Raw genomic sequence first — 27,040 nt, forward strand, 5'->3', positions numbered from 1 at the left:
TGAAGATAAAACCAACATACAACTTTCATCTATATAGGATTATTCTGTTCACTGTTTGGGAGATCTTACACTTTTCAAATTAAACTATGAATAAATGCTTATATAGATAAGAAATGATCAGTTCTCCACTATCCTTCTGTTTTTCTAGGTAACTATAACTACCCAATATTGCAGCCATGGAGTCCATGCTTAATAAATTGAAGAGTACTGTTACAAAAGTAACAGCTGATGTCACTAGTGCTGTAATGGGAAATCCTGTCACTAGAGAATTTGATGTTGGTCGACACATTGCCAGTGGTGGCAATGGGCTAGCTTGGAAGATTTTTAATGGCACAAAAAAGTCAACAAAGCAGGTGAGTTTTAATTCAGCATCCACTTGGAAAAAACCCACATGCTAAGAACCATAAAATGCATGTGTGCATTTTTATGTTAAGAAATGCCAAAAGTTCTTTAATAGGTTCTTAAATGGGTTCTTTAGTTCTCATTTTATCTTATTAAGTCATACAAAAAAACAAATGCTTTTAAACATGCTCTGAATCTCCTGGTTACACATATACTGTTTGACATACCATATCATCTTGAAATATAATTTTGCTTACTTAATAAACATGTCAGTTGAGCAAACGAGTATATTAGATTGTAATATTTAGTGAAGCATATGTTTTAGGATAGAAATTGCCGTGTTTCTTAAATTTTCTTTTCATATTTGTCAATATGTTACTGGCAAAATACCCAGTTAAATTTTTCAACGTTAAGTGCGTCTTAGTGCAGTCAGTGCTGGGATTACAGCGTGAGCCACCGTGCCCGGCCAAAATCACTGTTTTCAAAAGTCTTTTACTTCCCTACAAGTGAAATATATGGGTTGTAAAATGTAAAGGATTTCTTATATATACCTCCCAATGACTACCACAGTCATACAATTGTGGGTATGCATTATTTGCTACTTTTCCGAAGTTAGCTTATTTCCCAGGTAAGTACATTGAAGACTGAATTGGCTTTGGTTATCCTTTTATGAAATAGGAATCTTGGTCCTATGATAAATTGCTGGTATGTCATTTGTATTCAACCTGTTAAGTCTTGTTTTTATTGCCATTTGGAAGTCTTTACTGAAATTCAGAGTTGATCTGCATCTGAAATGCTGATCGATTTGTTACTTTTGAACATTGCTTTTTTCTTCAATTCACCATAAGCTCATCCAAAAAAGTAAATGGTTTCTTGAGTATTGACTACCTAAAAACTATTAATGAGGTCATGAGTTTTGTAAATGAACAACCTCCTCTGATTCTAGCACAAATTGCTTTTACAATCAGTTATATAAGGGGAAAACAAAATAACAAATTTATAAAATTAGACATTTTTATTAAGGATGTGGTAATATATAATAGCATCTCTGTGCGTAACTAGAAAGGTTCTAGGTAGTTGTGGTAATATCAGTAGTTCATATGCTGAAATCTCCTGATGATTTTGGAGCTTCTAGAACATGAGAACCAGGCACAAATGATAGAACACCATTCTCAACTGCTGACTATCAGCACTGGATTTTCTTAGGGAACTTTTCTACATTGCACTTTTTTTCTGTATTTATTGCTTTGGAATTAAAGGTGGTACACCAGTGAGCTCAGTGGATATAGGTTCAAATTTTCTTTTTTGCCTCCTTCAACTTGCAAGGGTCAGAACTGAATATCCTGTCTTTACTACTGGTTAATTTTTTAAAGAATAGCTAAGTCCTTAAGCACCTTGACATTGAAGCCTCTGCCTCCCAGGTTGAAGCAATTCTCCCACCTCAGCTTCCCAAGTAGCTGGGACTACAGGCGTGCACCACCATGCCTGGCTAATTTTTGAATTTTTAGTAGAGACGGGGTTTCACCGTGTTGGCCAGACTGCTCTCGAACTCCTGACCTCAAGTGATCCGCCCGTCTCGGCCTCCCAAAGTGCTGGAATTACAGGCATGAGCCACCGCGCCCGGCCTAGTTTCTTTTTTGAGTGTTCATTTAGAAGCAGCTCTTAGTTTCTCACTATTATTTTTTTCTGGAATCTCAGCAGGGATGCTAAAGACATCTCCAGGTAATATTTAGAGAATAAAAACTGTGGTGTCGGCCAGCCATGGTGGCTCACGCCTGTAGTCTCAGCACTTTGGAAGGCCAAGGTGGAAGGACCCCTTCAGCTCAGGAGTTTAAGACCAACATGTGCAATGTAGGGAGACTCTGTCTAAAAAAAATTGTGTGGTCTGATTAATTTTTAAAATATAAACTTATTTTTAATAACTTATGTTCAGCATATTATAGAATATTGCACAAATCATGAGTGTACAGCTTGATAAATGTTCACAGTGAATACACCCATGTAACCAGCATCCGGACCAATAAAAAAAACACTGCTAATACTCATGTCCTTTCCTGTCATTATCCCTAACCCCCTTCTCTCCAGGGATAACCACTACCCTGTCCTTTAACACTAGAATAATTTTGCCTGTTTTTGAACTTTATTTAAATGCATTTGTATATACTCTTGTATTTGATCCCTTTTCCTTAATAGTATATGGATAAGCTATATCTGTGTTGTTGAACAATGCAGTTTTTCTTTTCATTGATAGAGTATAGCTGTAGACATTCTTGTATGTGCCATTGGCACATATGACGCATTACCTAGGTGTGGGATTGCTAGGTTGTAGTGTATGTGTTCATTGCCAAATAATTTTTCCGGTGTGGTGCCAGTATACACTTCCACCAGCAGTTACAGTTTCTTCACATCCCTGCCAATCTTGTTATATAGTCTTTTTAATTTTAGACATTCTGGGTGGAGGGTTTATCTAATTTTTGAAAATTCAGTGAAATATTCCCTGCTCCCCTCTCTTCTGAACTTTAAAAATGTCTGATAGGTAATTCAAACATAGAATTTATACCATTATATTTCTGTTAATAGCTTTCTAACTGACTTAGTCTTTTTACACAGTTTCATGTTTTCAGGCTTAAAATGGTCATTTGAATATAGGTATTCTTTTCAAACATTGTTATGTTCTTTGTTGTAAATACTTATTTGAGAGGTATTTCTGAGGCAAATGCTCTTGGTTGGATTTCATTGACTTTACTAATTTTTAAGTTATACTTTATTTAAACTAGCCATTAAAGATGGAAATTTTTATTTTGGCCAAGCTATATATATAATAAATGATAAATGTTTACCGTATACATACATACATACGTACATGTATGTCCTTTAAAAATTGGAATACTGTTATCTGTTAGGTAGGAATATTATGACTATCAAGGCTGCTAATTTGTTTAAATAATTTCTAATAAAACACCATATACATCTAATTTCTGTCTCAGCTATGTCCCTAGTGCCTAATTTTTACCTCCTTTCAAGTAGAATAATAATTCTAGATTTTGAAATTTCTTTCAACTGTCAAATATCAAGCTAAGGGATTTATTTTGGGAGAGGATGTTTAAAAAAATGTGTGTGTATGTGTGTATGTTTATATATGTAATTTTGCCTGGTCTTGGGATATTTAAGCATTTATTTATTAAGCACTTCTGTTTAGTTTGACATAAGATTCTGTATTGTCAAGGAATTACCCTTCAAAATTGATTCATTTAACATTTATGAGTAGTCTTCTAGTATCCTACATTTATTATGACTTTTTATATTTGCTTTTGCAGTAGACCTTTTTTCTTGAAAAAAAGAAAGAAAATAGGGTAGGTTTGTGTTAGTTGGCTTTAAAAGTTGTATTTGTTGACCTGATAGTTTTGCCCTACTTCAGGGGCTTCATAACACCTCCCTGAAATGACTGTTTCTGTGAGGATAGTGAAGATTGATTGATTTCTAATAATTATTATATGATAAATAATTGTTCATATCTTATCCACTCTACCAAACGTTGGGTTGGACGTAATCCCTTCCTTACTACAAAATATACATTGTGTTATCCAGATGCCAGTATTCATGGATGAGGCTTGCTAATATTGTATATACAAAAGCATAATTAAATTATAATAAATAATTAAATTAGAATAATTAATAGTTTTAAAATAAAGGAAACTTTTATGTGAAGCCAAATATGCTAGTCATGTCACTTAGACAAAAGATGATCATAGACTAGTAATTTTAAGGGGTATATGTTTTTACCTTTCATTCTTCTCAGCAACTTATTTTTAACTTAATATAAATAAAAGTTTATATTTTGCTTTACTGTTTTGAAGAAGGAACATTATCCCAAAATCAGATGAAAAATGAAGTGTGTGATGCTTGACAGTCACCACCAGCCAGTCATGGGGGTCCATAAAATAGAGATCTCAGGGAACATCTGTGTTCCAAAAGCCACCTCTGGTGCCTCTGAGGGTTAGATTAGTGGAGGTCATGATCGCTGTTAGAGAATCGAGACACATTACTATAAATCATGTAATTTAAATTTTATTACTTAAGTATCTTGTTATCAACAGAGCTCAACTTTGTAGTAAGCAAAATAGCTTCTTTGGTTTTTGTTGTTGTTGTTGTTGTTGTTGTTTTCCAGAGAGGGGGTCTTAATATGTTGCTCAGGCTGGGGTGCAATGACTATTCACAGGCACAACCGTAGCCTACAGCCTTGACCTCCTGGGCTCAAGCAATCCTCCCACCTCAGCCTCCCAAGTAACTGAGATTACAGACGTGTGCCGCCATGCCTGGCTCACAAGTAGCTCTTAAAAATTATAAATTAGGTCTGTATCAAATGGGACATACACTGTATTGTGACAAATACTACAGTCTTTTAGAATACTTCCGTAGCCTTTTTTGTTTAAATTAGGCTATTGAGAAAAAATACTTTTTAGTAAGTGTCTTTCTTTGCCAGTGTTTTTAAAGAATCTGCAATGAATAAATAAATAATAGGATACCATATATTGCTTATATTTTGTTCTAATAATTTTTTGTATTAAAAAACCCTCAATTTAACTACAGTTAACAGTTGTTGAATCTTAAGCAGAAGACATACTGGATGATTGTGCTATTTGATCTTTTCTGTATATTTGAAATTTTTGTTAATAAAAAGTTAAAAAATATTTTAATTAAAGATGATAATAAAAAGCTTTAATTGCTTATCTTTATTTACTATCAGTAAGCAATAGACATCTGAGTATCTTCTAGGCATAACTGCTGAGTTCTGTGGTAGATACAGAGGCACATAAGACGTTGTTTCTTTCTTCAAGAGGATTGTAATATATATAAGGTGACTGGACTTTTGCATAAATGATGTGTGTTAGCAGAGTGGGTAGTATAGAAAAGTAGTAAAAGAAAAATGAAATTAGATTATGATGTATTCTGATGAAAGGCTTTGTACAGTGTAATAGTTTTATTTTAGGAAGTCAGTATGAGGCCTGAGGATTAACAACACAACCTTGTTAACATTGGTTAATTTTAATCACCTGATTGAAACAAAGAGAAAATATTTTTAAGATAGTTGATAACCTCTTCTGACTTATTTAGGACTTATCTTTGATAAGTAAAACAATGGACTATCTGAGAGAATTTTGTGAGTTTTTTTTTCTTTTCTTTTTTTCTTTTAAGAGATGGGGCCTTACTGTGTTGCCCAGGTTGGTCTCAAGCCCCTGGCGTCAAACCATCCTCCTGCCTCATTTTTACAAAGTGTTGGAATTACAAGCATGAGCCACCATGTCCAGCCAGTGTTTTCTTTTTCTTCGTGAACTATAGTGTTCCTCTTTACTTGTGGTGAAACTGCAAGAGCTATTTCATGTAGTCCTTTTTTTATATATACTTAGAACACCTTGAGCTGAGCACGGTGGCTCACACCTGTAATCTCAACACTATGGGAGGCTGAGGTGGGAGGATTGCTTGAGTCCAAGAGTTTGAGACCAGCCTGGACAACATAGTGAGACCTCGTCTCTACAAAAAAATTAAAAAATTTGCTGGGCATGGTGGTGTGTGGCTGTGGTCCCAGCTACTCGGGAGACTGAGGTGAGAGGATCACTTGAGACCAGGAGGTGGAGGCTGCAGTGAGCCATGATTGTGCCACTGCACTCCAGCCTGGGTAATAGAGTGAGACCCTGTCTCAAAAAAAGAAAAAAAAAAAAGACTTGAAAAATAAAACATTTATTTATTTAAAATTTTTTTTTTGAGATGGAATCTCACTGTGCTGCCCAGGCTCCAAAGTGCTGGACACTTTGGAGTACCCAGGCCTCCCAAAGTGCAAAGATTACAGGCGTGAGCTACCGTGCCGGCCATAACACATTTAAATTGGATACATTTATAAAATGTGTTATAGCAGAAGACTTACTAAAATAAGATTGTGCACATGAATGGCAAGATGAGAACTTGAAGTTTTAGGTCATTTGTTTTTAGTTCGAATTAGTGTTATGTAAAACTCTTACCTCCTGGCTGTCCTGTGCCTCGTAATGATCAGGAGTTAAGATTAGGTGTTTATATGAGTGCTATTTAAAGCTGTTACTCAGCCTAAATGACTGATTTCTTTCTTGAAGACATGCATCGTGTTTTGCTTTGGTGTTCCGTATTTTCCCTGTGTTATTTCTGGGGCGACAGAATGATGTCTTGGCTAAAAATATAGTCCTGTGGACTAACTGTTTGAAACTTGACTTTTTTTATCTTAGAAAACATTTATCTTCTCCACAACATCCTCATTTGTAAAGTTAATATAATATTTGTCTCGTAGGGTTTCTGTGAGGAATAGAATAATTCCTGAAAAGTACTTAGCACAATGCTTGGCACATATAAATACGCAAATGCTATCTTGTTATTTCTATTATATAAATAGTTGACTTGGGAACCTCTTTATTTGTAAGATTTTCTAGTAGACTAATGCCTGAAACTTTAGCTGTAGAGTGTATTATATTTTCATTTTTTATCTCATTCCTTTTATGACTGTGGTCTGAAAATAACAGTGACCAAGGTTTGAGTTCAGGGTCGACATAATAAATGGAGGAGTGAAATTTCATTTTAGGTTTGTGTGACTCTGGAAACTGGGCTCTTGATCACTGTTATATTCTTATGCTGCATGTTTTTTTCTGTGTGACATGGGAATGGTATTGGGTTTATATCACATCATTTTGTTTAGCTTAGTATATTAATGTTCCTTATCAAGTTGACAGGTTGTTGAATCTCTGTCTTTCAAAGTTGATTCTTGACCATGGGTCTTGAATGTGTGTCATTGATCATATGTATGTGTCATTGATCAGATGTGTGTCAGCAGAAAACTCATCAGTAATAGAAAAATAACAAAATACAAGTCTTGATGTTAGTGGTGTAACGACGTTAGCTAACATTAATTGAATATGTCAGGTATTACAATAAGTTCTTTTTATATTACTGTGTCACTTATTCTTCAGTGGTCCTTTGAGGTATTCATACTATTATTTATTCTTTTTTTTTCTGTTGAGAAAACTTGCCCAAAGGCAGCTGGTCAGTTGAAGGGAAATTGACTCAAAGGCTCCTCTGATCTAATGCCAGTGTCTTGAGTGCTGTATAGATACATCCTCTGTTGTTTTATTGTAGTAAATGCTGCCTTATTCACAAATGCTTGGGGGGACGTTGTGTTTTAATTGAGTTACAGTGCTAAATAATTCCTTTTTGTTGCCACTTTTCAGAGACTTACTCCTCTAATATCCTTAACTCATTTATATACATAAGGAACCCTCATTTTACAAGTTATGTTTGAGAAATTTATTGGATTGGACTTTTTGCAGTGAATCTCTATGAGATGGTTGAGTTGCCAGGCTAACTTATGAAAATAATAATGCTAATGTAGCAAAAATGCAGAACAGAAGAAAATAATTAGAAGAGAAAAAAATGAGAATAAAATAGAAAACTAATTGTCTTGGATATTGATAGTTGAGTAGCAGTAGGTTTAATTTGAGGCTTTCAAAGACATAGAAATTCTGAAAGAGTTTCTAAATCTTTCAAGGAATTTTGGAAGGCTAGCATTCTTTGCTAATTTCGTTTCCAGTTTATTTTGCGTTATTACCAAGAACACACATCAGTAATTTAACACATCACCTATCAGTAGAGCTGTTTTTTTATTGATTTGTTAAGAGTGGGTAACTAGATGAGAACTGTTTTTCCTTGGGTATCTGAGGAATAATGAAAGGAAGAAGATGGTAAGGAGGATGTGTGCTTTTAGTAGTATAAAATAAGCTGTGAATGATTTCAAAGAGAGGTGGTGGGAGAGCAAGTCCCTGTACTAGTAACCGTTTACATTTACTGCCCCTAACAAGATGGGGGATAGGAAGGTATGAGATAGAATATAGATTATTCATATGTAAAAGATACTACAAATTCATTTTTCTTACAAACAAGTACTCCCTGACTTACAACCTTTCTTTCAAAAAGCATTTCAAGATTTTGTAGTATACTTCACGATTATCATTGTAAGTTACATTTTAAATTTTTAAACATTTTCTTTGAATTCTGTGTCCATAAGAGATTACTACACAGGAAACAACATATTGTACACAATTAATATGTACCTGTGATAGCAGAATTCAAAGGTAAGGTTTTTCCTGTGTTCTTTAGATGAGGACTCTAGGTTTTACACCTTTTAAAATGTTTAGATTTACTATCATAAGGAAACCAACTCTTTGATATCAGAAAAGTATTACAATGGTGCTAAAATTTTTATGGCATAGTTATTTGTAGATTGTGACATTCATATAATTTTATTACTTTTCTATATTTCTTGACTAAAATTACACAATTCTTTTATTTAGGAAGTGGCAGTTTTTGTCTTTGATAAAAAACTGATTGACAAGTATCAAAAATTTGAAAAGGATCAAATCATTGATTCTCTAAAACGAGGAGTCCAACAGTTAACTCGGCTTCGACACCCTCGACTTCTTACTGTCCAGCATCCTTTAGAAGAATCCAGGTAAATTTTTACAAAAACTTACATAGTAGACTTCCTGAACAAATAGTTAAAAATAATTTTATATTTGAAATCTGTTTCAAGTATTGTCAGTGAAAAATTCTTATACTCTAAGTGTTGAGTTCTTATGCATTAGTTTTCTCCCTAAAATTTATTTGCATTGTCTACGTATATGTCTCTCTTTGAAATATTAATACTTTCTTTACTTTTGCCATGATTCTGTACTTCAGTGGCTACCCTGTGCTCATGACTACAATAGTCAAAATAGAACATACAAGGGTATAGAATACAGTTCTTGCCTGAAAGTAGCTGTCCTTGCTAATTTGCTAGAATTTCTTGTCTCCTTTTCATTGATACAGTATTTGGAGGCCAATTTTGTGTGTGTGCCAACTACTGTTTCAGACACTTAACCTTCTACTATGCCTAGCATGCCAGTCCATAGCTCTCAGTTACTTTACCATCTATTTTTCTCAAGGGTGAGCTTGGGAAGTGTTAGTGAGAGTGACAAGAAAATGAAATTTATGTAATCTTAACTAGACTCTCAAGCTTGTGGCACTTTTAATACTCCTTTAGATACGCTAGCTTTATAAACCTTTTCGACATTACTTATAACCCAAATTTATGCTTTTCTTCCTTCTTTCTCAGCAGACTGTATTCCCCTCTCTTAATTCAGAAAATCTTAATCAGATCATTTGGTATTTGTGTCCTGTGGCCCTGTTGGCCCTTAGGATTTTTAAGGATAGGGGAAGAATGGGAAAGTGGAGGACACAGAACTGGCAGGGTTCCAGGCTGTGTGGGATGAAGGTCCCATCTCCCTTCAATTGTACAGTTTTGCTTTTATCTTTTATTATATATTGAGTTTCTGCAATTCTTACGTTGGAATCCTCAATAACCACTTTCTACCATCTCACCCTTCAAAGGCACAAGATCTTTTTTTTAAACATAAAAGGAAAAATACAAACATTTACTATGTGAAAAACTATGCTAAATGTTTTACATTGTTTAATTCATCTAATTCTCACAATTACACAGAACAGAGGATCAAAGAAACTGTATGGTTTTAAGTGCTGGAGCTAGGATTCATTTTGTCATTCTGATTCCTGAGTCCCTGTTTTTATTTTTTACTGCACCATGCTGCATCTACCCAAAAATATGCTAATGTGTCAGTTGATTGATCGAGACAAGAGTCTCACTCTGTTGCCCAAGCTGGATTACAGTAGTGCCATCATAGCTCACTGCAGCCTCGAACTCCTGGACTCAAGTGATCCTCCTGCCTCAGCCTCTCAAGTAGACTACTACAAGTGTGTGCTACCATGCCCAGCTAATTTTTTGATTTTTAATTTAAAAATTTTTTGTTTTGTAGAAGTGGGGTCTTGCTATATTACTCAGGCTGATCTTGAACTCTTGGCCTCAAGTGATCCTCCCTGAGATTACAGGTGTGAGTGACTGTGCCTGGCCTCTTCTTTTTCTTTTTTAATTTTTGGGGTGGGGTTTTGCTGTTGTTGCCCAGGCTTGCCTTGGACTCCCGAGCTTGTGTGATCCTCCTGCCTCAGCCTATCAAGTAGCTGGGACCACAGGTGCATGCTGCTGCACCTGGCTTGCTCATATGTCTCTTGTCATAAAAATATTTTTTATTGCCTTTCTTTTCATGGATAAACCCAGAACACTATAGTTTCTGTCTGTTATGTAATACTATTGTGAATCCTGTATCCCAAAGTAGACTGGTTTTCCCACACTTATCCTACACTTTCCTGACTCTGTATTTGTTGGTGCTATTTCCTCTGGAGTGTTTTCTATCAGCGTCTCTAGTGTCACCTATTAGAATCCTACCTATCCTTGTTATTTTATGTTGTATTTACATGTTTTTTTTTTATTTATTTTTTATTTTTTATTGATCATTCTTGGGTGTTTCTCACAGAGGGGGATTTGGCAGGGTCATAGGACAATAGTGGAGGGAAGGTCAGCAGCTAAACAAGTGAACAAAGGTCTCTGGTTTTCCTAGGCAGAGGACCCTGCAGCCTTCCGCAGTGTTTGTGTCCCTGGGTACTTGAGATTAGGGAGTGGTGACGACTCTTAACGAGCATGCTGCCTTCAAGCATCTGTTTAACAAAGCACATCTTGCGCCGCCCTTAATCCATTTAACCCTGAGTGGACACAGCACATGTTTCAGAGAGCACAGGGTTGGGGGTAAGGTCACAGATCAACGGGATCCCAAGGCAGAAGAATTTTTCTTAGTATAGAACAAAATGAAAAGTCTCCCATGTCTACTTCTTTCTACACAGACACGGCAACCATCCGATTTCTCAATCTTTTCCCCACCTTTCCCCCCTTTCTATTCCACAAAGCCGCGATTGTCATCCTGGCCCGTTCTCAATGAGCTGTTGGGCACACCTCCCAGACGGGGTGGTGGCCGGGCAGAGGGGCTCCTCACTTCCCAGTAGGGGCGGCCGGGCAGAGGCGCCCCTCACCTCCCGGACGGGGCGGCTGGCCGGGCGGGGGGCTGACTCCCCCACCTCCCTCCCGGAAGGGGTGGCTGGCCAGGCGGGGGGGTGACCCCCCCACCTCCCTCCCGGATGGGGTGGCTGGCCAGGTGGGGGGCTGACCCCCCAACCTCCCTCCCGGACGGGGCGGCTGGCCGGGCAGAGGGGCTCCTCACTTCCCAGTAGGGGCGGCTGGGCAGAGGCGCCCCTCACCTCCCAGACGGGGCGGCTGGCCGGGCGGGGGGCTGACCCCCCCACCTCCCTCCCGGACGGGGCGGCTGGCCGGGCGGGGGGGCTCCTCACTTCCCAGTAGGGGCGGCCGGGCAGAGGCGCCCCTCACCTCCAGGATGGGGCGGCTGGCCAGGCGGGGGGCTGACTCCCCCAGGCTGACTCCCCCACCTCCCTCCCAGACCGGGCGGCTGGCCGGGCGGGGGCTGACCCCCCACCTCCCTCCTGGACAGGGTGGCTGGCCGGGCAGAGGGGCTCCTCACTTCCCAGTAGGGGTGGCTGGGCAGAGGCACCCCTCACCTCCCGGACGGGGTGGCTGGCCGGGCGGGGGGCTGACCCCCCCACCTCCCTCCCGGACGGGGTGGCTGGCCGGGTGGGGGGCTGACCCCCCCACCTCCCTCCCGGACGGGGCGGCTGGCCGGGCGGGGGGCTGACCCCCCCACCTCCCTCCCGGACGGGGTGGCTGCTGGGCGGAGACGCTCCTCATTTCCCAGACGGGGTGGCTGCCGGGCGGAGAGGCTCCTCACTTCTCAGACGGGGCGGCTGCTGGGCGGAGGGGCTCCTCACTTCTCAGACGGGGCGGTTGCCAGGCAGAGGGTCTCCTCACTTCTCAGACGGGGTGGCCGGGCAGAGACGCTCCTCACCTCCCAGACGGGGTCGCGGCCGGGCAGAGGCGCTCCTCACATCCCAGATGGGGTGGCGGGGCAGAGGCGCTCCCCACATCTCAGATGATGGGCGGCCGGGCAGAGACGCTCTTCACTTCCTAGATGGGATGGCGGCAGGGAAGAGGCGCTCCTCACTTCCTAGATGGGATGGCGGCCGGACGGAGACGCTCCTCACTTCCCAGACTGGGCAGCCAGGCAGAGGGGCTCCTCACATCCCAGACGATGGGCGGCCAGGCAGAGACGCTCCTCACTTCCCAGACGGGGTGGCGGCCGGGCAGAGGATGCAATCTCGGCACTTTGGGAGGCCAAGGCAGGCGGCTGGGAGGTAGAGGTTGTAGCGAGCCGAGATCACGCCACTGCACTCCAGCCGGGGCACCATTGAGCACTGAGTGAACGAGACTCCGTCTGCAATCCCGGCACCTCGGGAGGCCGAGGCTGGCGGATCACTCGCGGTTAGGAGCTGGAGACCGGCCAGGCCAACACAGCGAAACCCCGTCTCCACCAAAAAAAATACGAAAACCAGTCAGGCGTGGCAGCGCGTGCCTGCAATCGCAGGCACTCGGCAGGCTGAGGCAGGAGAATCAGGCAGGGAGGTTGCAGTGAGCCGAGATGGCAGCAGTACAGTCCAGCTCCGGCTGGGCATGAGAGGGAGACCGTGGAAACAGAGGGAGAGGGAGACCGTGGGGAGACGGGAGAGGGAGAGGGAGACCATGGGGAGACGGGGGAGACCGTGGGGAGACGGGAGAGGGAGAGGGAGAGGGAGAGGGAGAGCTGGATTTCAAAGCTTCATCCATGCTGAGCTGCAAGGGGAATGGACAGAACTGGAAACTGGGGCAGACTGGAGTTGCCAGCCTAGGCTGGGCTGTGAGCTCCATGGAGCAGATGCCGGGCCATCCTGCCCTGGCTCTAAGCCCAGCCCCAGGCCAGGGCCGACACCTGGTAGGCTCTTTATGAGTGCTTCCTGAATGAATGCTGCAGAATTACATGTCTTATATCTCATAATTACATTTCAAGTCTCTTGAGGGGAGAAGGACTATCAGTTATACTTTTCTGTGTCCCTGCAGCTTTTTGTATGGTGATTTAAATATTATAGAATTAGGAATTTATTGGCAATCATGAAGAGAGACAATTCAAAGATTACTTTAAGATGTCCTAATTGTTAGGTTGTAAAAATTGTAGTAGCATTGATAGAAATAGGGACACTTTAGGGAAGAAAAAGATAACTTCCAGTTTTTAATGAATTAATAATACTGACATGACACTGGAATTACCCAAAGGAAATGCACTTCAGAAAGAGTAATTCAGATGACAGTCCAGAGTTGGTGATGTATATGGGGGTGAGTCACTTACAGGCAGTAATTAAAACCTAAAAAAAAGTGAGTTTTTCAAGAGTATGAGTAAAAGGAGCAGAGTACTGAGGAAAGAACCTTGAAATGTAGGGAAAACAAGAGCCAAAGAAAAAGGAGGAATATTGTCGTATGGCAGGAGAATTGGCAGCATGTCATGGAAGCAAAAGGAAGGAAAAAGAACCTGCTAACACTGGGGAATACAGAATAAAAAAGAAGATAAGGACAGAGAAGAATCCATTACATTTGACCAGTGAGAAGTTGTTAGTAACATTCAGTAATTTTAGTAGGATGACAGTTTGGAAGCAAAAAAAAATAGATTCAAAGGGACCTAGCAGAGAAGACACTATGTAAGTCTATAAGACAGTTTTTTTTTTTTTAACAGTACAGTTCAACAAAAGCATGCCTTATGGTCCAATGTGTTAATGAGCTACGTGTTGGGAGTACAGAACAAGGCAGCTTCCTTGATGATGGCTGAGCAGGCAGCAGGACAATGTGACCATTTCTCACCTTCAACCTAAGTTCTGTTTTTATTTCTTATATATTAAGCTTCTGCATATGCTCTCATTTGAAAAACAGATTTAAGGCAGAAGAAAAGTTATTCAGGTATTGGAACAGATGAGACATCAATTAAAGGACATAACTGCCATTTAACAGTTACTATGCAGGCCCAGAAGCTTGTTATGTAGCCACATTACTGTACTACTTTGTAGTTCTTCATTGCCAGAGCCTAAAGCCCAAGGCCTAAAGTGTTAGGGCTTGGGTGGCAAATGCTTGGTAATTATAATAGCAATGGTAAGCTTATTGAGCTTACATGCTTTATGTATTTTACATGATTTTCTCATTAGATCTTTATACTAACCCTTCAAGGTGGGTCTATTATCACCATTTTACAAATGGGTGAAGTGAGGTTCAGAACAGTAGTGTCCATTGTTACCAAGACAGCACATAGGGATGCTGGGACTTAAAGTCAGGTATCTGTCCTCAAAGCCTGAGCTCTTGATCATTACCCTGTAAGGCCATTGAATGTTAATATCTAACATTTTCTGAGTTTATAAATCTTCTTGTACATGAAAGACTAGTAATTTAAAAAATTTAATAACTGTGACACCTTTCAAAATGACATATAAAATAGATCAAAGCTGTTTTGTGAAGTGGGAACTGGGCTACTGGAGCTAGCTGTGCCTTGTCTCTCTTCCTGACTACTCCTATTCCAGGGTCATCTGTGGGAAATCCAGAAGTTCCTTTGAGCGTATTCTGAAAATTAACAGCCTTAATAAATAAGGATAATACCATAAGTGTAATGTAACAGTATTTTGAATTAGTTTATTGGTTTTCCATAAAGAATATCAATCATTTGAACAAGGTGGTTGAACAAGGTGGTGTTTTATTTTTTCACTTTTTAAGTTTTAAAAAAGATCGCAGTTATCACAACACTTAGTTTAAAAGACCGAGTGATTTATCTAGTATAATTTGTATGCAGAGGCTCCTAACTTTGTTGGTTTAAGTGGATTATGTCTATGCTGAAATTAACAAATGTAAAATAGTTACCTTCTTATTGATAGTTTAATAGGAGCACTAATATTTTATGTATATTTGATTTTGATAATGTGTAATAATATGATAGTAAATAACTTTTTCTTTTTTAAAACAGGGATTGCTTGGCATTTTGTACAGAACCAGTTTTTGCCAGTTTAGCCAATGTTCTTGGTAACTGGGAAAATCTACCTTCCCCTATATCTCCAGACATTAAGGATTATAAACTTTATGATGTAGAAACCAAATATGGTTTGCTTCAGGTATGTATTTTTATTCATCATGTAAAAAAGAGTTGTTTCCTTTAAAATTGGTTTTGGCATTTCAAACTTATTAACCATGTAAAACTATTTTAGGTAAACTTTTGGTTCTTGTTAGTAATTTAGTCATTATTCCTATGTTCTGGAAATTTTTTCTGCAGTTTGTTGTTCGGGTTAAATAATATTTTAAATATATCAAACTGATAACATTGGTAACCTTTGGGGGGTCACTTATTGGCTAGTGGATGGAGTGGGTTCCTTTTGATTCTTAAACTGAATACATTTTATAAAACATTCAATTGAAATAAAGTATTTGATAAAAATAAAAATTTTATCTTTAAGGAATTTAGTTAGTGATATCAAGAGGTATTGTTAGCCTTTTCTTTTCTTTTTTGAGACGGAGTTTCACTCTTGTTGCCCAGGCTGGAGTGCAATGGCACGATCTCAGCTCACTGCAACCTCCACCTCCCTGCAACCTCCAGCTCCCTGCAACTTCCACCTCCCAGGTTCAAGCGATTCTCCTGCCTCAGCCTCCCCAGTAGCTGGGATTACAGGCGTGCACCACCACGCCTAGCTAATTTTTGTATTATTGATAGAGATGGGGTTTCATCATGTTGGCCAGGCTGGTCTCGAACTCCTGACCTCGTGATCCACCCACCTCGGCCTCCCAAAGTGCTGGGATTACAAGAGTGAGCCACCACGCCTGGCTAGCCTTTTCATATATGCTCATTTTTTCAGATTTTCCTTTCCCTGCTTACCAAAATAATATCCTGACAGCTGACTTTGGTGGCTTATGCCTGTAATCCCAGCACTTTGGGAAGCTGAGAAGGGAGGATCACTTGAGCTCAGGAGTTTGAGACAACCCTGAGCTCAAACATAGCAAGACCTTGTTTCTACAAAAAAATTTTAAAAATTGGCTGGGCATGGTGGCATGCACCTGTGGTCCCAGCTACTCAGGAGGCTGAGTCAGGAGGATCGCTTGAGCTTGGGAGGTTGAGGATGCAGTGAGCTATGATAGTGCTACTGCACTCCAGCCTGGGTGACAGAGTGAGAGCCTGTCTTAAAAAAACAACAACAACAACAAAAATAATATCTTCAGTGCCATAGAATAAATTTATATAGTAGATTCTAAGTTCCTTTTGGGCAGACATTATTTTTATTACGTTTTAACAGCTTTATTAAGATATAATTGGCATACAGTAAACTACACATATTCAAAGTATGTGGTTTTATAAGTTCGACATACACTTACTTACCTGTGAAACCATCACCACGATCAAGATACTGCATCTATTTGTAACCCCCAAGAGCTTCCTCATACTCCTTGTAATCCCTGTCCCCTTTTCCTTGCAGTTTGTCTGTCCCTTGTCTCAGAAAATCACTGACCTGCTTTCTATCACTATGGGTAGATTTGCATTTTCTAGAATTTTATAAGTGGAATCATATGGTACCTATTCTTTTTCGGTCTGGCTTCTTTTAACCAACATAATTATTTGAGATTCACATGTTGTGTGTATCAATAGTTGATTCTTTTTTTTTTTTAATTGCTGAGTAGTTTTATGAATATACCACAGCTAGTCCATTTGCCTGTTCATAATATTTGGGTTGTTTCTAGTTTTTGGCTACTGTGCATAAAGCTGCTATGAACATTCATGTACAAGTTTTTGTATGAACATACACATTCGTTTCTCCTGATCAAGTACTTGGGAGAGGAATGGCTAGATCAAATAGTATGTGTATGATTCACTTTTTAAGAAAATGATACTGTTTTCCATAGTGGTTGTGCCATTTTACATTTCTATCAGCAGCATATAAGAATTTCATTTTTTTCACATCTTTGCCAAAATCTGCTATCTTTGGTCTCTTTGGTATCAGTCATTCTAACAGGTGTGCAGTAGTATCTCATAGTGCTTTTAATTTGTATTTCTCTGATCAATAATGATAGCGAGCATCTTTTCATATGCTTCTTTGCCATCTGAATATCTTTTTAGGTGAAATATCTCTTCAGATACTTTGCCCATTTTTTTGAGGGGTTGTTTTCTTATTGACTTACGTGTGGACACAGTACATAATTTGCATAATTTACAAAGATTTTCTCCCAATCTGGCTTATCTTGTCATTCTCTTAGCTGTATTTTTTAAAGAATTGTGGCAAAATACCATCTTAACCATTTTTAAAAATTATTTTTAATTTTTGTGGGTACATAGTAGGTATATATACTTATACATGAGATACTTTGATACAGGCATGCAATGCATAATAATTGCATCATGGAAAATGGGGCATCCATCTCCTCAAGCATTTATCCTCTGTATTACAATCCATTATACTCCTTTAGCTATTTTTAAATGTACAATTAAATTATTATTGACTTTAGTCACCCTGTTGTGCTAGCAAGTTCTAGGTCTTATTCATTTTTTTCTAACTATTGTTTTTGTACCCATTAACCATCCCTACTTTCCCCCACCTCCCTCAACTGCCCTTCCCAGCCTCTGGTAACCATCCTTCTACTCTCCATCTCCATGAGTTCAATTGTTTTGATTTTTAGCTCCTACAAATAAGGGAGAACATTCAAAGTTTGTCTTTTTGTCCCTGAGTTATTTTGCTTAACATAATGACACCCAGTTCCATCTATGTTGTTGCAAATGACAAGATCTCCTTTTTTATGACTGAATAGTACTCCATTATGTATATGTACCATATTTTCTGTATCTGTTCATCTGTTGATGGACACTTAGTTTGCCTCTAAATCTTGGTTATTGTGAATAGTGCTGCAACAAACATGGGAGTGCAGATATCTCTTTGCTATACGGATTTCCTTTTTACTTTTGAGAATATACCTAGGAGTGGGATTGCTGGATTGTATGGTAGCTCAAATTTTAGTTTTTTGAAGAACCTCCAAATTGTTCTGTATAGTTCTTGTACTAATTTACATCCCCGCCAACAGTGTACGAGGGTTCTATATTCTCCACATCTTCTCCAGCATTTGTTACTGCCTGTCTTTTGTATGAAGGCATTTTAATTTGGGTGAGTTGATATCTCATTGTAGTTTTCATTCGTGTTTCTCTGATGATCATTGATGTTGGGCACCTTTTCTTATGCCTGTTTGCCATTTGTATGTCTTCTTTTGAGAAATGTCTATTCAAATCTTTTGCCCATTTTTGATCAGATTATTAGTTTTTTTTTCAATGGAGTTGTTTGAACTTCTTATATATTCTGATTATTAATCCCTTGTCAGATGGGTCATTTGCAAACATTTTCTCCCACTCTGTGGGTTGTCTTTTCACTTTGTTGTTTATTTCATTTGATGTGCGCAAGGCTTTTAACTTGATGTGATCCCATTTGTCCGTTTTTGCTTCGGTTACCTGTACTTGTAGGGCATTACTCAAGAATTCTTTGAGGACAATGTGTATTCTGTAGCCATTGGTTGAAATGTTCTGTAAATATCTATGAGATCCATTTAATCTATGGTGCAGATTAAGTCTGATGTTTCTTTGTTGATTTTCTGTCTGGAAGATTGGTCCAGAATTGCCTTCAAGAGCCTAGGCTTGGACTTGGGCACCTCAAGAACCCACTTGGTGCTCTTCCCTGCTATGGCCAAGCTGGTACCTAAGGTGCAAGACAAAGTTCCCTTTGCTTTTCCTCTGCTTTCTCAAATAAAGGGAGTCTTTCACCATAGCCACCACAGCTGGGAATGTGCTGGGTCACCGCCCTGAAGCCAGCACAGCCCAAGACCCATGGCGTACTATGTGGGTATCACTATTGGTTATTCAGGGCCCGATGGCTCTTTAATCAGCAGGTGATGAATCCCGCCAGGACTGGGTCCTTCCCTTCAAGGCAGCGGGTCCCCTTTGGCCTAGGTGTGTCTAGAAATGTCATCCATGAGCTAGGGTCTAGATTGGGGCCCTTAAAACTGCCTGGTGCTGTATTCTACTGTGGCTGAGCTGTTACCTAAATGCAAGACAAAGTCCTTTTTACACTTCACTCTATTCTCTTCAGACAGAAGGAAGGAGACCCTTTTGTTGCTGCCAGCTACATTGCCTGGGGTTGGGTGGGGGAGGTGGTGCAAGCACTCCCTTATCTGTCCCAGTTGTTGTCTCCCTAGATCTCCCTAGGACACTTGCCATCCTAGTCAGTTGACTCTAAGCCCAGCCCAGGACTAAGAGTTGCATAGAAATTGCAGTGCTTTACAATTTGGTGTGTTTTTGCAGTGGCTGGTACCAGTTTTTCCTTTCCATATTTAGTGCTTTCTTCAGGAGCTCTTGTAAGGCAGGCCTGGTGGTGACAAAATCTCGCAACTTTTGCTTGTCTGTGTAGGATTTTATTTCTCCTTCACTTATGAAGGTTAGTTTGGCTGGATAAGAAATTCTGGGTTGAAAATTCTTTTCTTTAAGAATATTGAATATTAGCCCCCACTGTCTTCTGGCTTGTAGGGTTTCTGCAGAGAGATCTGCTGTTAATCTGATCAGCTTTTCTTTGTGGGTAACCCGACCTTTCTCTCTGGCTTAACATTTTTTCCTTCATTTCAACCTTGGTGAATCTGATAATTATGTGTCTTGAGGTTGCTCTTCTCAAGAAGTATCTTTGTGGTGTTCTCTGTATTTCCTGAATTTGAATGTTGGCCTGTCTTGCTAGGTTGGGGAAGTTCTCCTGGATAATATCCTGAAGAGGATTTTCCAACTTGGTTCCATTCTCCTTATCACCTTCAGGTACACCAGTCAAACGGAGGTTTGGTCTTTTCACATAGTCCCATATTTCTTGGAGGCTTTGTTCATTCCTTTTCATTCATTTTTCTCTAATCTTGTCTTGATGCTTTATTTCATCAAGTTGATCTTCAGTCTCTGATATCCTTTCTTCCGCTTGATCGATTCAGCTATTAATAATTGTGTATGCTTCACGAAGTTCTCATGCTGTGTTTTTCAGCTCCATCGGGTCATTTATGTTCTTCTCTAAACTGGTTATTCTAGTTAGCAATTCCTCTTTTTCAAGGTTCCTAGCTTCCTTGCATTGGGTTAGAACATGCTCCTTTAGCTCGGAGGAGTTTGTTTTTACTTACCTTCTGAAGCCTACTTCTGTCAATTCGTCAAACTTATTCTCTGTCCAGTTTTGTTCCCTCACTGGTGAGGAGTTGTGATCCTTTGGAGGAGAAGAGGCATTCTGGTTTTTGGAATTTTCAGCCTTTTGGCACTGTTTTTTCCTCATCTTCATGGATTTATCTACCTTTGGTCTTTGATGTCGGTGACTTTCAAATGGGGTTTTTGTGTAGATGTCCTTTTTGTTGATGTTGATGTTTTCTGTTGATTCTTTTCTGTTTGTTAATTTTCCTTCTAACAGTCAGGCCCCTCTGCTGCATGTCTGTTGGAGTTTGCTGGAGGTCCACTCCAGACCCTGTTTGCCTGGGTATCACCAGCGGACGCTGCAGAACAGCAAAGATTGCTGCCTAATCCTTCCTCTGGAAGCTTTGTCCTAGAGAGGCACCTGCCAGATGCCAGCCAGAGCTCTCCTGTATGAGATGTCTGTCGACCCCTGCTGGGAGGTGTCTCCCAGTCAGGAGGCACTGGGGTCAGGGACACACTTGATGAGGCAGTCTGTCCCTTAGCAGAGCTCGAGTGCTGTGCTGGGAGATCCGCTGCTCTCTTTACAGCCAGTAGGGAGGAATGTTTAAGTCTCCTGAAGCTGTGCCCACAGCTGCCTCTTCCCTCAAATGCTCTGTCTCAGGGAAATGGGAGTTTTATGTATAAACCCCTGACTGGGGCTGCTGCCTTTCTTTCATAGATGCCTGCCCAGAGAGGAGGAATCTAGAGAGCTAGTCTGGTTATAGTGGCTTTGCAGCTGCAGTGGGTTCTGCCCAGTGTGAACTTCTACGCGGCTTTGTTTACACTGTGAGGGGAAAACCACCTACTGAAGCTTCAGTAATGGCAGACGCCTCTCCCCTCACTGAGCTCGAGTGTCCCAGGTTGATTTCAGACTGCTGTGCTGGCAGCAAGAATTTCAAGCCATTGGATCTTAGCTGGCTGGGCTCCTTGGGGGTGGGATCTGCTGAGCAAGACCACTTGGTTCCCTGGCTTCAGCCTCCTTTCCAGGGGAGTGAACGGTTCTGTCTCGCTGGAGTTCTAGGCACCACTGGGGTTTGAAAAAAAAAAACTGCAGCCAGCTCGGTGTCTGCCCAAACGGCGCCCAGTTTTGTGCTTGAAACCCAGGGTCCTGGTGGTGTAGGTACCTGAGGGAATCTCCTGGTCTGCGGGTTGCAAAGACCGTGGGAAAAGCATAGTATCTGGGCCAGAATGCACCATCCCTCATGGGACATACAGTCTCTCATGGCTTCCCTTGGCGACAGGAGGGAGTTCCCCGACCCCTTGAGCTTCCCAGGTGAGGTGAAGCCACACTGTGCTTCAGCTTGCCCTCTGTGGGCTGCACCCACTGTCTACAGGCAAAACCAGCTAGCATCATAATGATAGGATCAAATTCACACATAACAATATTAACCTTAAATGTAAACGGGCTAAATGCCCCAATTAAAAGACACAGACTGGCAAATTGGATGAAGAGTCAAGACCCATCAGTGTGCTGTATTTAGGAGACTCATCTCACGTGCAAAGACACACATAGGCTCAAAATAAAGGAATGGAGGAGTATTTATCAAGCAAATGGAAAGCAAAAAAAAAAGCGGGGGTTGCAGTCCTAGCCTCTGATATAACAGCCTTTAAACCAACAAAGATCAAAAAAGACAAAGAAGGGCACTACATAATGGTACAGGGATCAATGCAACAAGAAGAGCTAACTATCCTAAATATATATGCATCCAATACAGGAGCACCCAGATACATAAAGCAAGTCCTTAGAGACCTACAAAGAGACTTAGACTCCCACGCAATAATAGTGGGTGACTTTAACAGCCCATTGTCAATATTAGACAGATCAACGAGACAGAAAATTAACAAGGATATTCAGGACTTGAACTCAGCTCTGGACTAAGTGGCCCAAATAAACATCTACAGCACTCTCCATCCCAAATCAACAGAATATACATTCTTCTCAGCACCACATTGCAGTTATTCTAAAATTGACCACATAATTGGAAGTAAAACACGCCTCAGCAAATGCAAAAGAATGGAAATCCTAACAAACAGTCTCTCAGACCACAGTGCAATCAAATTAGAACTCAGGATTAAGAAACTCACTCAAAACCACACAACTACATGGAAACTGAAGAACCTGCTCCTGAATGACTACTGGGTAAATAACGAAATTAAGGCAGAAATAAATAAGTTCTTTGAAACTAATGAGAACAAAGACACAACATACCAGAATCTCTGGGACACAGCTAAAGCAGTATGTAGAGGGAAATTTATAGCACTAAATGTCCACAGGAGAAAGCAGAAAAGATCTAAAATCAACATCCTAACGTCACAATTAAAAGAAAAGCAAGAGCAAACAAATTCAAGAGCTAGCAGAAGACAATAAATAACTAAGATTAGAGCAGAACCAAAGGAGATAGAGACATGAAAAACCCTTAAAAATAAATCAGTGAATCTAGGAGCTGGTTTTTTTTTTTTTTTTTTTTTAAAGATTAACAAAATAGACTGCTAGCCAGACTAATAAAGAAGAAAAGAGAGAATAATCAGACACAATAAAAAATGATAAAGGGGATATCACCACTGATCCCACAGAAATACAAACTACCATCAGAGAATACTATAAATCCTTCTATGCAAATAAACTCGAAAATCAAGAAGAAATGGATAAATTCCTGGACACATACACCCTCCCAAGACTAAACCAGGAAGAAGTCAAATCCCTGAATAGACCAATAACAAATTCTGAAATTGATATAGTAATTAATAGCCTACGAACCGAAAAAAGCCCAAGACCAGATGGGTTCACAACCAAATTCTACCAGAGGTAGAAGGAACTGGTACCATTCCTTCTGAAACTATTCCAAACAATAGAAAAAGAGGGACTCCTCCCTAACTCATTTTATGAGGCCACCATCATCCTGATACCAAAACCTGGCAGAGCTACAACAAAAGAAGAAAATTTCAGGCCAATATCCCTGATGAACACTGATGCAAAAATCCTCAATAAAATACTGACAAACCGAATCCAGCAGCACATCAAAAAGCTTATCCACCATGATCAAGTCGGCTTCATCCGTGGGATGCAAGGCTGGTTCAACATATGCAAATCATTAAATGTCATCCATCACATAAACAGAACCAATGACAAAAACCACATGATTATATCAATAGTTGCAGAAAAGGCCTTTGATAAAATTCAACACCACTTCATGCTAAAAACTCTCAATAAACTAGGTTTTGATAGAACATATCTCAAAATAATAAGAGCCATTTATGACAAACTCACAGCCAGTATCATACTGAATGGGTAAAAGCTGGAAGCATTCCTTTTGAAAACTGGCACAAATGCCCTCTCTCACCACTCCTATTCAACATTGTATTGGAAATTCTGGCCAGGGCAATCAGGCAAGAGAATGAAATAAAGGGTATTCAGATAGGAAGAGAGGAAGTCATATTGTCTCTGTTTGCAGATGACATGATGGTATATTTAGAACACTCCATCGTCTCAGCTCAAAATCTCCTTATGCTGATAAGCAACTTCAGCAAAGTCTCAGGATACAAAATCAATAAAAAATAACAAGCATTCCTATGCAGCAATAACAGACAAACAGAGAGCCAAATCATAAGTGAACTCCGATTCACAATTGATACAAAGAGAATAAAATACCTAGGAATACAACTTACAAGGGATGTGAAGGACCTCTTCAAGGAGAACTACAAACCACTCCTGAAGGAAATAAGAGAGGACACAAACAAATGGAAAAACATTCCATGCACATGGATAGGAAGAATTAATATTGTGAAAATGGCCATACTGCCTAAAGTAATTTGTAGATTCAGTGCTATCCCCATCAAGCTACCACTGATTTTCTTCACAGAATTAGAAAAAAGTACTTTAAATTTCATATGGAACCAAAAAGAACCTGTATAGCCAAGACAAACCTAAGCAAAAAGAACAAAGCTGGAGTCATCATGCTACCTGACTTCAAACTATACTGTAAGGCTACAGTAACCAAAACAGCATGGTACTGATACCAAAACAGATACATAGACCAATAGAACAGAACAGAGGCCTCAGAAACAATGCCACACATCTTCAACCATCTGATCTTTGACAAACCTGACAAAAACAAGCAATGGGGAAAGGATTTCCTATTTAATGAATAGTGTTGGGAAAACTGGCTAGCCACATGCAGAAAACTGAAACTGGACCCCTTCCTTACACCTTATACAAAAATTAACTCAAGGTGGATTAAAGACTTAAACATAAGACCTAAATCCATAAAAACCCTAGAAGAAAACCTAGGCAATACCATTCAGGACTTAGGCATGGGGAAAGACTTCATGACTAAAGCACCAAAAGCAATGGCAACAAAAGCCAAACTTGAGAAGTGGGATCTAATTAAACTAAAGAGCTTTTGCACAGCAAAAGAAACTATCATCAAAGTGAACAGGCAACCTACAGAATGGGAGGAAAATTTTGCAATCTATCCATCTGACAAAGGGCTAATATCCAGAATCTACAAGGAACTTAAACAAATTTACAAGAAAAAACAACCCCATCAAAAAGTGGGCGAAGCATATGAACAGACACTTCTGAAAAGGACATTTATGCAGCCAACAAACATATGAAAAAAAGCTCATCATCACTGGTCATTAGAGAAATGCAAATCAAAACCACAGTGAGATACCATCTCATGCCAGTTAGAATGGCAATCATTAAAACGTCAGGAAACAACAGATGCTGGAGAGGATGTGGAGAAATAGGAATGCTTTTACACTGTTGGTGGGGGTGTAAATTAGTTCAACCATTGTTGAAAACAGTATGGCGATTCCTCAAGGATCTAGAACCAAAAATACCATTTGACCCAGCAATCTCATTACTGGGTATATATCCAAAGGATTATAAATGATTCTACTATAAAGACACATGCACACGTATGTTTATTGCAGCACTATTCACAGTAGCAAAGACTGGAACCAACCCAAATGCCCATCAATGATAGATTGGATAAAGAAAATGTGGCACATATACACCATGGAATACTATGCAGCCATAATAAAGGATGAGTTCACGTCCTTTGCAGGGACGTGGATGAAGCTGGAAACTATCATTCTCAGCAGACTAACACAGAAACAGAAAACCAAACACCGCATGTTCTCACTTATAAGTGGGAGTTGAACAGTGAGAACACATGGACACTGGGAGGGGAGCATCACACACTGGGGCCTGTCCGGGGGTGGGGGACTAGGGAAGGGATAGCATTAGGAGAAATACCTAATGTAGGTGACTGGTTGATGGGTGCAGCAAACCACCATGGCACGTGTATACCTATGTAAAAAAAACTGCACATTCTGCACATGTATCCCAGAACTTAAAGTGTAATAATTAAACAACAACAACAAAAAAGAAAGAAATTGCAGTCCTTGTGTAGTCCTAGAGTGCCTTTCAAGTTTATCTAGGTCCCCAGAACACTTTGGTCCATGGTGCAGAGGCCTGCCAAGAAACTCCAGTTCTGACCTCTGTGATGGGTGATTCCCATCTGGCTAGGTCTCGTTCAAATGCTCCCTTAGAGCATGTGTGCTAGTTGAGCCCAGCATAGCTTTGCTTTCTGCTGTTACAGGGTAGCACTGAGATCAATATAAAGTCTCCTAGTCACTACACTGTCCCCCAAGTGCACAGATTATGTCTCTATGCTGTACATCCCCAGTAAGGGACTGGGGAGAGATGGTGTAGGCAATTGAGGACTGACTGCTAACCAGCCATGAAAGAGCACTTCTTCAGTGCCTCTTTCAGTGATACAAAGTTAAAACCAGGTACTGTGAGTGCTCACCTGATTTTTGGGTATTTTGATTTGTGTGTGTGTGTGTGTGTGTGTGTGTGCGCGCGCGTGTGTGCAGCTAGTTTTTAAAATTTGGTGTTCCTGCGCAGGGAGGATATACAGTGTAGGATTCTATTTGGCCATCTTACTCTGCCCTCTTCCATCTTAACCATTTTTAAGTGTACATTTGAGTCCGTTCATTAAGTACATTCACATTGTCATGGAACCATCACCACCATACATCTCCACAATTGTTTTCATCTTAGCAATCTGAAACTCTGCCCCTGAAACAGTATCTCCTTATTCCTCCAACTCCTCCTCCCTTCCTGCCCCTGGCAACCACAATTGTACTTTCTGTCTCTATGAATTTGACTACTCTAGGTACTTCGTGTAAGTGGAATCATACAGTACTTGTTATTTTGTGATTGGCCTATGTTAGCATAATGTTCTCAAGGTTCATCCATGTTGTAGCATTTGTTGGAATTTCCTTCCTTTTAAAGGCTAAATAATATTCCATTATATGTATATGCATAGCAATTCATGTGTCCATTGATAGATGATAGTTGCTTATACACATTATAAGCAGCTTATGTGCCCAGTCATCTGTCAATGGACCTTGAATTGCTTCCACATTTTGGCTATTGTGAATAATGCTGCTGTGCAAATGAGTATACAAACATCTCTGTAAGACCCTGCTATCAGTTCTTTGCAGTATCTACCCAGAAATAGAATTGCTGGATCATACACTGATTCTATTTTTGG

General features: G+C 40.1%; 1 protein-coding gene across 5 annotated transcripts in view, besides 4 other annotated features; it reads left to right on the forward strand.

Annotated features, from left to right (window-relative positions):
• The window catches only part of SCYL2 (SCY1 like pseudokinase 2), a 74,539-nt gene that overhangs the window by 15,618 nt on the left and 31,881 nt on the right, over nt 1–27,040 (forward strand). For 4 of the 5 annotated variants that reach the window (NM_001330253.2, NM_017988.6, NM_001330254.2 and 1 more), the window contains exons 2-4: nt 149–353; nt 8,709–8,866; nt 15,237–15,381. In NM_001330253.2, the coding sequence (NP_001317182.1) occupies nt 177–353; nt 8,709–8,866; nt 15,237–15,381 (480 nt within the window). In that variant the 5' untranslated portion in view covers nt 149–176. Of the gene's footprint in view, nt 1–148; nt 354–8,708; nt 8,867–13,967; nt 14,104–15,236; nt 15,382–27,040 lie in introns of all 5 variants that reach the window. The other variant, NM_001330256.2, reaches the window with a different exon arrangement.
• Nucleotides 6,244–6,444: a silencer, noted in NCBI's record as "peak1911 fragment used in MPRA reporter construct". NCBI's record gives its function as "represses an SCP1 promoter by STARR-seq MPRAs in K562 erythroleukemia cells {active_cell/tissue: K562}" and the evidence as "EXISTENCE:reporter gene assay evidence [ECO:0000049][PMID:32103011]".
• Nucleotides 11,963–12,604: an enhancer, noted in NCBI's record as "H3K27ac hESC enhancer chr12:100688535-100689176 (GRCh37/hg19 assembly coordinates)". NCBI's record gives its function as "activates a minimal SCP1, AML or CMV promoter by ChIP-STARR-seq in naive H9 embryonic stem cells {active_cell/tissue: H9 hESC(naive)}" and the evidence as "EXISTENCE:reporter gene assay evidence [ECO:0000049][PMID:30033119]".
• Nucleotides 12,605–13,245: an enhancer, noted in NCBI's record as "H3K27ac hESC enhancer chr12:100689177-100689817 (GRCh37/hg19 assembly coordinates)". NCBI's record gives its function as "activates a minimal SCP1, AML or CMV promoter by ChIP-STARR-seq in naive H9 embryonic stem cells {active_cell/tissue: H9 hESC(naive)}" and the evidence as "EXISTENCE:reporter gene assay evidence [ECO:0000049][PMID:30033119]".
• Nucleotides 13,437–13,731: a silencer, noted in NCBI's record as "tiled region #7724; HepG2 Repressive non-DNase unmatched - State 16:ElonW". NCBI's record gives its function as "represses a minimal TATA promoter and a strong SV40 promoter by Sharpr-MPRA in HepG2 cells {active_cell/tissue: HepG2}" and the evidence as "EXISTENCE:reporter gene assay evidence [ECO:0000049][PMID:27701403]".

This window comes from Homo sapiens, chromosome 12, assembly GCF_000001405.40.
Source record: "Homo sapiens chromosome 12, GRCh38.p14 Primary Assembly".
Lineage (NCBI taxonomy): Eukaryota > Metazoa > Chordata > Mammalia > Primates > Hominidae > Homo > Homo sapiens.